This window comes from Homo sapiens, chromosome 7 (genome assembly GCF_000001405.40).
Source record: "Homo sapiens chromosome 7, GRCh38.p14 Primary Assembly".
Lineage (NCBI taxonomy): Eukaryota > Metazoa > Chordata > Mammalia > Primates > Hominidae > Homo > Homo sapiens.
The window spans coordinates 137,738,319-137,751,366 of record NC_000007.14 but is presented as its reverse complement, the minus strand read 5'-3'; the positions used below and the strand labels follow the sequence as shown (position 1 = coordinate 137,751,366).

The following is a 13,048-nucleotide window of genomic DNA, read 5'->3' as shown; positions in this document are numbered from 1 at the left end:
TTAACTGCCCAATAGGAGGAATCTGCTAACATAACAGAGATGTCTGATAGTGGCTATAGACAATATACATTTTTATAAAACTGAAAGGAGGTAGAATGGCTTTTGTAGCCAAGTCTATGTGTAGAAAATTTGGAATGGAAATTAAGAAACTGTAGTGATGACTGCTGCTTCTAACAGTAAAGGAAATATTTATGTGTATCTTCCAGATGTTTACTGAAGTAGAACCTTAGTAAGTTATTTGACATGAAGCCCAAAGTTATAATAGACACAAAGATGCTTCATTTCAAGCCTTAGATAGGAACAAAAATATGATTGAAACCAAAATTAGCCTAGAACTAGAAGTGGCCTTTACAGATCATCTACTAATATCCTGCTCATTTTGCAGCTGAAAAGACGGGGGCCGAGAGATCTAGTTGTATAAAATTGTCTCTGAAACCTAGGACTTCTGACTTCCAGGTCTTTACTAAATTCCAGTGTAATTTTTAAAATTTTCAAGCCAGATTCTCTGTGGATGTGGAGAATATCAACATGAAGTCTTGCACTGCCTTAAAGATCTTCATTAGCATGCTATTCCTTTCCTTTATCTTCCTGAGTCCCCAAGGTCACAGATGTAGGAGTAAAGTATTGAAAAGCCATTCAGGACTCTGTCTTCTCCCCGTTGCCTTGTTGAACTGCTTATGGGGGTGATGTTCAGGGGCTGGGCTAGGGCATTCCACTAGAGTGCCCAATATCTTTATACAGATGCTGATTGCTGCCCTGAATACCCACAGCAGGAATTTTTTTGAGAGAGGAAGGTGAGTGTGGGCAATTGGGAAAACAGCCCACAGGTAATGGAGGGAGGGAACCTTAAGTTTCCTTTTAACTGCCAATCAGTAATTCTTTGTTCATTTATTCAAGTATTTATTAAGCACCTACTATGTGCCAGGCTTTGTTCTAGGCACTTGTGATACAACAGCGATCTACACAGGATCCTCCCCTTGAGGGCTTTGCATTTTGGTGTGCTTCATGGTGGAGGAGTGTGTTTTTCATGGTGAAGCCATTTGGAATCTGCCAGGTTGAAGCACTGAACCAGGAGTAGGAAGACCTGCATCTAGGCCTCAGCACTACCTACTCACCAGCTCTATAGCCCTGTGCATCTCATTTCTCTGCAGCCGAGTCCTTTCTTGTTAGAACCTTCACCCTGGCTCCTCTACGACAAGGGTATCTTTCTTCTTTATTCTGGTGCTTGCCTCCTTATCTGGTTTCCCCACTTCTTCTTGCCCTTAGTTTCTGCTGATATGTTCTTTTGTCCAGTTGCCTCTTACTGGGTCTCCCTGATGCCAGTTGTGTGTCCCTGTGCAGGTCTCTGCTCTACTGTGACAATATGTTCTGCCTGTTTGCACTTTCTCAGTCTTTGCACTTCTGCTCCTACCCAACCCCACTGAGCAGGTCTAGCTCCATATCCTGGATCCCACCCATAGGCTTATCCACACCAGGGAGAGTTCCACCCCTGGCTATGTCTGGAATCAGGACTTGCTGCATGTTGATTCACTCATTCAGCAGTATTTATTGAGCACCATTTAGGGATGTGATTGGAAGAAGATCTAGTCTCGGTGCTCATAGACCTCATGTGAACCAATGAGGAATCAGAATTGAATTTTGATTAAACTCAGGGACCCTGATTCCTCAAAAAAAATGATAAATTTGGAGTAAACTTCAACAACCCTTTAAGCTCAAGCACTCAGTCCACAAAATTTCTCTATTTCAGACATTTCTCCCTAGCCCTTAAATCCTCTGTCTACAAGCTGATTGACTAATATATTCAGCTAAGGTTATAAAAGCAACCAGGGTTTCTTAGGCAGCCAAAAAGAAGTCAGAGAGCGAAGAGGAGAGAAAAAGCCAAGAATGCCATAGATCCTGGATCAGGTGGGCCAGCTAGGGGAGCAAGGTGGGAAGTACAAGCTTTTTGATGCCTGAGACCAGTGGTTTGAGTGGGGAGCTTGCTTGGGAAAAATCAGCAGGGTCCACAGAAATGAAAGGGGATGTCTACCAGGAGCAGCTAAGAAGAGCCGGGAGGGAGGTCTGGGGGGCTCCTGGTCCTCACCTTGTTTTAGGGTGCTGCCCTTGCCTTTTTCAATTAAAGAAACAGAAACAGCAGCTATTTGGGGTTTTGAGCATGGAAAGGTGGAGGACAGAGGAGCTGTCTGAGTTATCTTAAGAATCTGGTTTTACTGTTTATTGAAATAAAATGGTCAGAGCTTGAAGGAAAAAGTAATTTAATTTATAAATAGTTGCTGATCACTCTTGTGAATAGTATATTCTGTTGTCTTCAGAAATAATCCTGTAGACATCACCTGCATGTCAATATTTGGTTCAGAAAATATAATCACCAGTTGCTGTTATTGTCTATAAGGCACGATACTAAATTATCTTGTCATCTAACTCAGTTTTTATCATTATCTCTTGGTAATTTTATTGAAAGAAACCAGTAACTTGTAAATCATAAAAAGATGAATAATCCCAGTTATAAATTCTTTTCCTTAACAGATGTCTTTAAGACAATCTGACTTAAGTTCTCAATTCTGACTAATTTTTTTCTAATGGTTTTTAGAGAGCTGCATCATGATCTGTGTGATGGGATATGTTTGGGAATGGTGGATTTAAAATGGATTTCTGATAGTATATGAAGGGTATATATCTTTGAAAAAATTGAAGGCAGAAAAATATACAGAAGAAAATAAAAGTTCCCCATGGCTTCCTCTTTTCCAAGAACTAATACTAGACTGTAAGAGGACTGTGAGGGGCAGATACATTGTCTGTTTTATGCTCTGTGCCTGTGTCAAAAAGTGCTTGGCAAATAGAAGGGACTCAATAAATAGTTGTAGGATGACCAAATGAATATTTTGTGCGTTTCCTTCAAACCTTTTTTCTATAGATATATGTATGAATACTATGTAATAATGATTACTTTTATATCTTTAAATAATATTCTGTATTTCAGTTTTATATTCCGCCCCCATTCTTTTTTTTTTTTCTTTAACCACAATAGATGTGTTTATATACATAAGTTTTTCGGGGGATCAGAAGAAAGTATAATACAAATAGTATTATATGTGGAGTGATTTAAAATGTTTTGTTTATATTTTAATAGTTAGTGACTAAGAAATTTGAAGTCAGCCTTCCTCCTTTGCCTTAGTTTCTCAGCTACAAAACTGTGTTTGTAGAATTAGCACTTAGGTACAGAGAGCCAATGTTCAGGGATGATAATGATAAAATGATGTTATATAGATAGGATTGAGAGCTTATTTACTAGAGTCAGAAGAGCCTGAATTTGAATCTTTTCCCTCTCATAGTATTAGATTATGTGACCTTGGGCAAGTGACCTTGGACAAGTGTCAACCTTTATAAATCTTATTTCCTTGTCGTAAAATGTGTTTGCATTTGTTAGGATTGGCTAGCTAGAGTGTGTTGCCATAACAAGTCCTGGAATCTGATCAATTTAGCAAAACAAAAGAATGTTTCTTGCTCACACAAAGTCTGAGTAGAGCCTGGATAGTGAGTGGCAGTAGGGGTTTAGGTTGCCTACTCTTTGTTGTGCTGCCATCCCATCTAAACAGATCTTTAATGTCTCTGCAGCAAAGGAAAAGGAAGCTTGGTGATGGTGTTACCAGTAGAAGGTCTCCAGGTTCTTGGTGTCTTGAACAAATAATTGGACAAAACACACGTACAAAGCAAGGAAGGAATGAAGGGTTTTATTGAAAATAAAAGTACATTCCACAATGTGGGAGCCGGCCTGAGTATAGGGGCTCAAAGACCCCGTTACAGAATTTTTGGGAGTTTACATACCCCCTAGAGGATTCCACTGGTTACTTCGGTTATGCCTTGTGTAAATGGAGAGGATGAGGTAAAGTTACAAAGTCATTTACGGATTATGCCCTATGGAGAGGGTATTTTCTGTTATAGCTGAAGTGTGAATCGGCCTTATGTTCCCTGCCTCCAGACCCTATTTTCCTGCCTCAATGGCACACTAGCTCTTGCTGCCTTGACAATGAAGTTACACATTACATATTACTTCTGCTCACATTTTGTTGTGCAGATCTAGTCATATGGCCACACTTGAGTACAAGGGCTGAAAGTAAACTTTTTAGGTGCTTAGGAAGAAGAGGAGACCCAGAAATAGGTAAGCACTAGTAGTTTTTACAACAGAGGTGAATAATAGTAACTTCAATCAAAATTGGTGTGATCTAATCCCCTACCCGCTTGTGATTAAAAAAAATAGGATTACACTTTTTTTAAAAAAACCTAAATTATTAGGCCAAGGAGCTTCCCACTAGCAAATCGCTAGAAATAAATTCTCCTCAAAATGGCTTTTAATGATTTTGAGGAATTCCCAGGGTCCTGACTCCTGGGTATTTTCAAAGAGATCTTTTAGGTTTCCCCATTCTAGTCCCTTCATCTTGCCCCAGGCTAACTCTGATGTTTTGAGAGGACTTCTTTGTTGTGCCTATCTGTCCCCCATTGGTGGCCAATGCTCTCCCTAGTTCTTTTCAGGACACGATAAGGCTGAGTTGATGAGAACATATTAAAGTCTTGAGGATAAAGCCAGCCAAACCCAAGGAACAGCTTACACCTGATACCAGGTGGGTTTGGACTCACAACCTCAGATCTACACCTAAACTTCAGAGTCTCCTTTTCTGCTAGTTCTTAGCTCGGTTCCATCTTTTCCCTGCCATAGGGAATAAATCAAGCCTGTGCATGCTTGAGCACCTAGACCCAAATGGTTTGCCCTATTTCTAGGCTTAAAAAACAAACAAACAAACAAACAAACAAACAACATCTCTGGATTACTTCCTCCCAGGATGGCTGCCAGTGGGAAATTCATTTTCCTCCAGAAGAGATTTCACAGTGTGGCTTGGCTCCCTGTCTCTGAATATGTAATGCGACGCTTGACAGCACTTTACTCTAAATCTAGATTATTCATGCGCAAATCATGCCACCATGGGGACCAATAGCCTATCCAGATTGTGCTTTGTCAAGTTTGTATCACCTTCATGTGACTTTTCTTCCAGCAGTTGATGAGGGAAAATAGGGCTTTACCTCTCTCTTGATATTCTAGGTCCAGCTCCATCACCCAAAAGCAGATGCCTGGACAACTTAAGCACAGTCTCTCCAGAACAATCCAGAATGTCAAGCATTGATCAATTTTAATTTAAGCTTTGGGAACCAAACCAAACCAAAAAAACCTCCAAAACAAAAACAAGAAACACCCCTATCTCTGCACATACAGTTCTGTTAGTGCAGCCAATTCCATCGTTAAATAGATACAGTATCCCCCCTTGGAAAGCCCCCCAGTAGATGCCTGAAACTGTGAATTGAACCAAACTTGATTCCCATCAATTGTAGCACATTTCTGTTTGTCTCTTCCACCGACAAATTTAATGCCTTTTCCATCTTAACTAAGCACTTGTCATAGACTGTGGCCATAATTTTTGCAATTTGAGGTGCAACAGTAAATCTAGAACGAATTTATTTTTCCTTCTTCACGTTTTCACCAATGAAATTGGTCTTACTGTAGATCTTAGTAACCTCAGCATATGTTTTTTTTTCTATCCTTTTTAAGCTGAGAACTCTCATCTATTCACTGAAAGAAAGCACTTTATGGCTTCTCTTTGGCATATCTGAGTTGCCACCATCACTACTCTTGCATTTTGGAACCATTATTAAGTAAAACAAGGGTTACTTGAACACAAGCACTGGGATATTGTGGTAGTTGATCTGATAATTGAGCCCACTACTGAGTGACTGAGGGACAGGTAGCACTGACAGCATGGATACCGTGGACAAAGGGAGGATTCACTGCCTGAGCAGAATGGAGCAGGACAGTGTGAAATTTTATCATGCTAGTCATAGTGATGCATAATTGAAAACTTGCTGTTTATTTCTGGAATTTTCCATTTAATATTTTTGGACTGCAGTTGACTGGGTGTAGTAACTAAAACCTTGGAAAACATGTCTGAATAAGGGGGGACTACTGCATTTAATGTGTTTGTCTGAAGGTTTTATACTGGGTGATTTCTTTGGACGTAGTCTTCCCCAAGGAGGAGAGAGAGGTACTCACTGCCTTCCATCTACATAAACAAAGGGGTCATCAAAGTAATCCTTTCCATAACACCGGCTAGTTTGTATCTAACAACAAAACAAATACATTCTTCACTTTATAAGGCAGAAACCCACAAACGGATGTTTTTACAGCTGCACTACATTTTTTTTATTTTTATTTTTAAAATATTATTTTAGATTCAGGGGGCACGTGTATAGATTTGTTACATGGGTATATTGCGTGATGCTGAGATTTGGGCTTCTAATGATCCTGTCATCCAAGTAGTGAACATAGTACCCTTATCTTGTTCCAGTTATTAGGGGGAATGCTTCCAACTTTTGCACATTCAGCATGATGTTGGCTGTGAGTTTGTCATATAGGGCTCTTATTATTTTCAGATATTTTTCTTGATACCTAATTTGTTGAGGGTTTATATCATAAACGGATGTTGGATTTTATTGAATGCTTTTTCTGCATCTACTGAGATGATCACATGGTTTTGTTTTTAATTCTATTTATGTGGTAAATCACGCTTATTAATTTTCATATATTGAACCATCCTTGCATCCCAGGATTAAAGCTGACTTTATCATGGTGAATTCACTTTTTGATATGCTGCTGGATTCAGTTTGCTAGTGTTTTATTGAGGATATTTGCTTCTATGTTCATCAGGGATATTGGCCTATAGTTTTATTTTCTTGGTGTGTCTTTATCAGATTTTGGTATCAGGATGATACTGGTTTTGTAGAATGAGTTAGGAGGAGACCCTCCTTGATTTTTTTGGAAGAGTATCAGTAGGATTGGTAGCAGCTCTCCTTTGTATATCTGGTAGAATTTGGTTGTAAATCCATGTGGTCCCAGGTTTTTTTGGATGGTATATGTCTATATTTTTTTAATTACTGATTCAGTTTCTTTACATGTTATTGGTCTGTTCAGGATCTCTGCTTCTGCCTGGTTCAATCTTCAGAGGTTGTGTGCTTTTAGGAATTTATTCATTCTCTCAAGATTCTCTAGTCTGTGTGCATAGAGATATTCACAGTAATTTCTGATAATCTTTTGTATTTCTGTGGGATCGGTTGTGATATCTTTGTCATTTCTGATTGTGCTTATTTGGATCTTCTCTTTTTCTTTGTTAATCTAGGTAGCAGTCCATTAATCTTATTTATCCTTTCAAAGAACCAATTATCTGTTTTTTTGACCCTTTGTATGGTTTTTGGGTCTCAATATCATTTAGTTCTACTCTGCTTTTAGTTATTTCTCTTCTTCTACTAGCTTTGGGATTAGTTTTTTTTTTTTTTCTTTTTTGAGATGGAGTCTCACTCTGTCACCCAGGCTGGAGTGCAGTGGTGCTATCTCGGCTCACTGCAACCTCTGCCTCCCGAGTTCACACCATTCTCCTGCCTCAGCCTCCCGAGTAGCTGGGACTACAGGCGCCTGCCACCACGCCCAGCTAATTTTTTGTATTTTTAGCAGAGACGGGGTTTCACTGTGTTAGCCAGGATGGTCTTGATCTCCTGACCTCATGATCCACCTGCCTCGGCCTCCCAAAGTGCTGGGATTACAGGTGTCAGCCACCGCGCCCGGCCAAGATTAGTTTGTTCTTGTTTTTCTAGTTCCTTTATGTGTGAAGTTTAGATTGTTAATTTAGGACTTTTCTATCTTCTTGATGTAGACGTTTTGGTATGTTGTGTTTCTGTTTTCATTTGTTTCAAATAATTTTTTGATTTTTGCCTTAATTTTTTGTTGTTTACCCAAAAGTCATTCATGTGCAAGTTGTTTAGTTTACATATATTTTTATGGTTTTGAAGGTTCCTCTTAGTGTTGATTTCTATTTTTAATCCCTCTATGGTCCAAGAAGATGCTTTGTATAATTTCTACTTTTTAAAAATTGATTGAGACTTGTTTTATGATCAAGCATGTGGTACTTTTTACAGTATGCTCCATGTGCAGATGAGAAGAATGTATTTTCTTTGGCTGCTGGATGAAGTATCCTGTAGATGTCAATTAGATCCAGTTGGTTCAGTGTCCAATTTAAGTCCAGAATTTCTGTGCCAGTTTTCTGCCTCAGTGATCTGTCTAATACTGTCAATGTGTTAGAGGTCCCCTACTGTTATCGTGTGTCTGTCAAAGTCTTTTCTTAGGTCTAAAAGTAATTGTTGTATAAATCTGGGTCCTCCAATGTTGGGTACGTATATATTTAGGATATTTAAGTCTTCTTGTTGAATTGAATTCTTTATCATTATGTAGTGTCCTTCTTTGTCCTTTTTTACTCTTGTTGGTTTAAAGTCTATTTTATGTGACTCAAGATTAGCGACTCCTGCTCTTTTTTGTTTTCTATTTGTGACTTCACTATAATTTTAAAGCCCAGTTCCCACTAGAACTTCGTTTTGTTAGATGCTTTGACTGTAATAAAACAGCCTTCGATTTTTCCATTTTTATCTTTTTATTCATTATCTTTTGTAATAAATTCCATTATGCATAAAATTTTAGTGGTTACTTCTGGGATCAAGCCTGTTAACCCACTCACACAATTAAATTTTCCTTTCTGACTTTATTTTTTTTCCCCCGGTAGCTGAGTACCTTTCTTGATGTAACATTGAGTAAAACATTGGCTATTTATACATCTAGGCTTTCATTCTCATAAGTGTGTGTTTTAAGCATGGGTATTAATTTCATTATGTGGGTCCAAACCTGTCTCTGACTTGGAAATGACTTACGGGTGCACATGGGTCTGCATATTAAGGTCTCTTGTGGCTGTGGGAGTGAGTGGGAGTGACGGGAGCTACTGTGGGCATTCTTGTGTACATCTGGCCATAGCAGTGGGTCCCAGGCTAGATCACTGGCACTTCTTTAATTAAGGCTCTGTTTCTGCCCAGAGCAAATTTGAGGTTCTCTGCTTCTTTTCCTATTGCAGAAGGGGCCCTACCTAGGAAGGATTTTGAAGTTCTGTTTCTTCCTTTATTTTTTTTTTATCCTTTTGGATGTAACAGCGCACCAACCACTGCCAGAGCTGACAGAATTGGAATGGAAGTAGGTGGGTGGGGGTTGGGGGTGGAAGGAGGGATGGCAGTCATCAGTTTGGGAACAACCTCTGAGCCAAAGAAATGCCTTTGGCATATGAGAACAGTGTGAGTTTATCTCTTTTCCTGTTTGGAAGAAGGTACACTATAAATCCGACTCTACCCAGGAACTGTTTATGGGAGATCGTTATTAAAGAATAGATATTTGATTTTTCCATTGGTTTGGAGAAACTAGGAGTCAGGCACTAAGGACGTGCTGTGTACTCATAACTTTTCTCCAGCTATCCATAAGGCTAATATACATTTTTGACAGGAATTTTTTTAAGTAAGAATTTTTTTTTACATTGTATTTATAGATGTAAAAGCACTGAGAGCTTCATTACTAGAAAGCAGCCCCTATGGTTTTCAGCATTGCTAGAATCAAGAGATGATATTCTTGTTGACTGTTGACCATGCTTTTCCAGATCACCCACTGTTGCACATTCATGAAATTGGAGTGAGCATACAAATTTGTTGAGAGAATTATCTTAACTAGATTCAACCTCTGTGCCCATGAGGTACTGTCATTCTCAGTGATTCAAATAGATATTTGGGTACAGGTGGTCATGTTTGGCGAGCTGGTTTCTGTGCAGATTCAGCACCTGTGGTTTGTTTCATCTTATCGTTCAGACACAGATGCTCTTAGAGCACCACACCATGCATTCCAATGAAATCTTTCCACTGAAACCATAACCTCTGTGATCCTAAAAGGAAGGAGTCAGTGTACAGAGGGACATGACATATTCAAAATCAGAAGTTGGGATAAGCCAGAAGGAACCTTGTGGGATTAATTTTCTTCTTTAAGTGTGGGTAATGTTTTTCGCATGCCCTCTTTTCAAACCTCAGCACTTCACTTGTCCATCTGCATTTTCTCCAAGTATTGTAAATGTCAGGTTTGTGTGAAGAGGCATCTGTAAAACTGCTGGCATGAATAATGACTCTGATGTTTATGTACGGAAGAGCGCACCTGACTTTAGCACTCTTATTATCTTTTACTAATTAAAATCAAGAAGATGTTTCAGCTAGACATTGCCTGTGCATAGCACCTGCTGGATTGCTTTTCTCCTTTTGGTGTTTCTGGTTTGGTGGAAAGGCAAGAAAGGTGAGCTGAATGACTTGGAGCAAGGAACAGTGGTGATGTCCCATCACTCTCGGACAAGCACTCCTTAGCCTATTTAAATTTATTTTTCTAGTTCTCAAAATAATAAAAAAAAAATTAAGACTTAGCCACCCTTTTTATCAGTGAGGAAATTCAGGCTCAGAGAGGTGAGCTCATTTACCTAGTTACTCAGCGTGTGACAGGATTAGGATTTGGACCCAGAGTCACTTCTGAAGCTTGTTCTACTTCCAATCTTATAATTACCTTAAAAATAGGGTGTGGCTGTATAGACCAGCTTTTGCATGAGAAAAGCCTCATTGTTCATGAATTTAGTTTATATTGGATGGTTATTTTAAATTATAGTCATGTGCTGAGCATTATGTCACCAGCAAATCATAGCCGTTTTCCAGAGATATTTCCCTGGTTAAATATTCACATGACATTTGAACATACTGAACAGCCAAGCATGTTGCTTAGTTGTTATGGTTGTTTTTGTGCGGGGATATCGGGTAGGGGAGGGGATTAAAAGTATTGGGCTGGTCTGGCTAATTTCTAGTCTCCATTTCTTGCAGACGACCTCTGATTCTCTGGTTTTGAAGTAGGGAAGTGTGACTGTGGTGAATCCCAAGAAACAGCTTGATAGCTTTACACCATACACCTGCCATTGCTGACATACTTTGGAGGGGACTGAAGTGGAGATGCAAAGCAGTCAGGCTGTAGGCCCCAGGGAGCTTATGAATCTGACCTCAGGGGTCCTCCCTGTAGAGATTCCTCACACCAAACATCTGAACTCATGTCAGGCAGTACTGTTTTAACCTCACTTTTTGCCCAGAATGATGGGAATAAAATCAAAATTGACAGACAGAGGAAGCTGGTCTTTCCTCCAGAATTGATAAACCAAGATACTTTAAACTTATTCCCAAGAATGTGGATTTCTGCATGTATGTATCTCTTCAAGGTTGCATAAATGGAATTTGTGCTTCAATTTGTCAGAATCCTGAATTTCCAAATCCTGATGTAAGGATTTAAGTAGGAGAGATACCTGGATTTGAATTGTTGTGAAATACAGTGGTAGGTTGACTAGCTTTATTCCAACAGAGTGAGGTTGATAGTCTTTGTTGCCATGAGATGCTTCACCTTTTCCCCTACCAACCTTCAAAGACATGGTGGAGCGGAATCACTGGGCAACACCAGTGGGAATAGTTCAACCAACAGTAGTTCTCACTTAGCAGAGACAGACCTCAGGTTCAACCTTTTCTTGACTGCCATTTCGATTCTGCAAGTGGCAAAAATAAACTGGAAAGTGGATGATCACTCTCATATGCTCTATTGACAAATAAGAAAAACAGGGACCAAAAACAACTTTCTCTGGGCAGTCTGGGGAATAAAAGCTGCTGGGAGGATCTAGTGTACACATGCGTGTAGCACTTTTTACATTCGCTAAACCCTTTTATAGTTACTCTGTCATTGGCCATTCTGACTATGTTGTGTGCAGGGCAAATGAGTTTTGTTCTTCCCATTGGAGAAAGGCTATCTAAGGAAGACCCATGGGAAATTAGCAAGTAAGCCAGGGCTGGAGTTCCCAGAGAGGCCCTGCATGAGGTCCCATAGGAAGCCGCTAGGATCTCGAGGTCTAGTCGTTATTTTTCCTCTTTGGCAGATTACACCGTAACTCTGAAAGAGCCAGGGAAGCCTAGGTTGTTTGTTCTTTAGAGTTTTTAACATGGAAGGAGGTTTAGAATTTATTTTGCCCGTCTTTTCATTTTAGAGATGAGGAAAATGAGACCCAGGGAGATGTGATTTCACAGGTCAAATAGTCCTATGACACTGGGTAGACAATAGGATACCTGATGTGAATGTTGAAAAATGTGCCGTAGGAGAAAACAGCCCTTTAGGCACTTGACTTGGCAAGCTGAGGTTACTTGGTGCAAAGGAAGAGATGCCCTTCTTTCAGGTGGATGTAGATCCATGCTGAGACACGTGGCTCAGAGTGCTGAGCATGGGCTGGATTTCAGCTCCTGATCCCTCTATTTTCAGTCCACAAACTGCATACTCTGTGAAGTGGCTCTGCATGGTTTTGCTGGTTCACTTAAAACATATTTGGATAAAAAACATGACTGAATGAGGGAGTCAGCTTTTCATTAGGTAGAGGAGGTGTCCATATGTCTAGTAATTGCCCTCATTTGGCACAAATCAACGAGACCTGAGGGATGAGGGATGAATCTGTGTCTTCTTTTTTATGGTTATGGGCATGAACAGTTAGGATGAAACCAGACCTGCGTGTTCTGGTTTGGCTGATGATGGATACTTTCAAAATTGTATCAAAGAAAATAGACAATGGAAGTCTGGCAGACTTTACAATGAGTATCTAGTAAATCGGATATGAAAAGGAAAGGGGGGGGGGGAACCTCATCTTCTCTGTGAATTTCTAAAAAAGTGTTCACATAAGACAGGGCTAGATAGTTTGAAGGATATTTTCCAAGCCCAAAACTGTACAAGAGGAAGTTTTCTCTGGGAGCTGGAATTTGAATGGACAAAGTCAGGTTGGTCTCAGTGGTTAATGCTTAAAGTTTATAAACACATCTTTTTGTTTTTAGCACATCCTACAAATGCAGTTTATTAATATGGCATTTTATATTGAAAGGTAAATATCACCATACCATTGTGAATAATTCTTTGGTAGTGAAAATAGCCCTATCTTACAGTGACTAGATCCTTCTTATAAATGCTCTTCAGGTAGCCCAAAGTTCTCCTTTGTATAACCCATTATAATTAGATTATACATATAATTGTGTAGAGGTATGTATTTAA

General features: G+C 39.5%; 1 protein-coding gene across 9 annotated transcripts in view, besides 1 other annotated feature; it reads left to right on the top strand.

Annotated features, from left to right (window-relative positions):
• Positions 1 to 13,048, top strand: part of DGKI (diacylglycerol kinase iota) — a 465,938-nt gene that overhangs the window by 95,608 nt on the left and 357,282 nt on the right. The window lies entirely within an intron of this gene.
• Positions 3,996 to 4,732: an enhancer, noted in NCBI's record as "NANOG-H3K27ac hESC enhancer chr7:137431381-137432117 (GRCh37/hg19 assembly coordinates)". NCBI's record gives its function as "activates a minimal SCP1, AML or CMV promoter by ChIP-STARR-seq in primed H9 embryonic stem cells {active_cell/tissue: H9 hESC(primed)}" and the evidence as "EXISTENCE:reporter gene assay evidence [ECO:0000049][PMID:30033119]".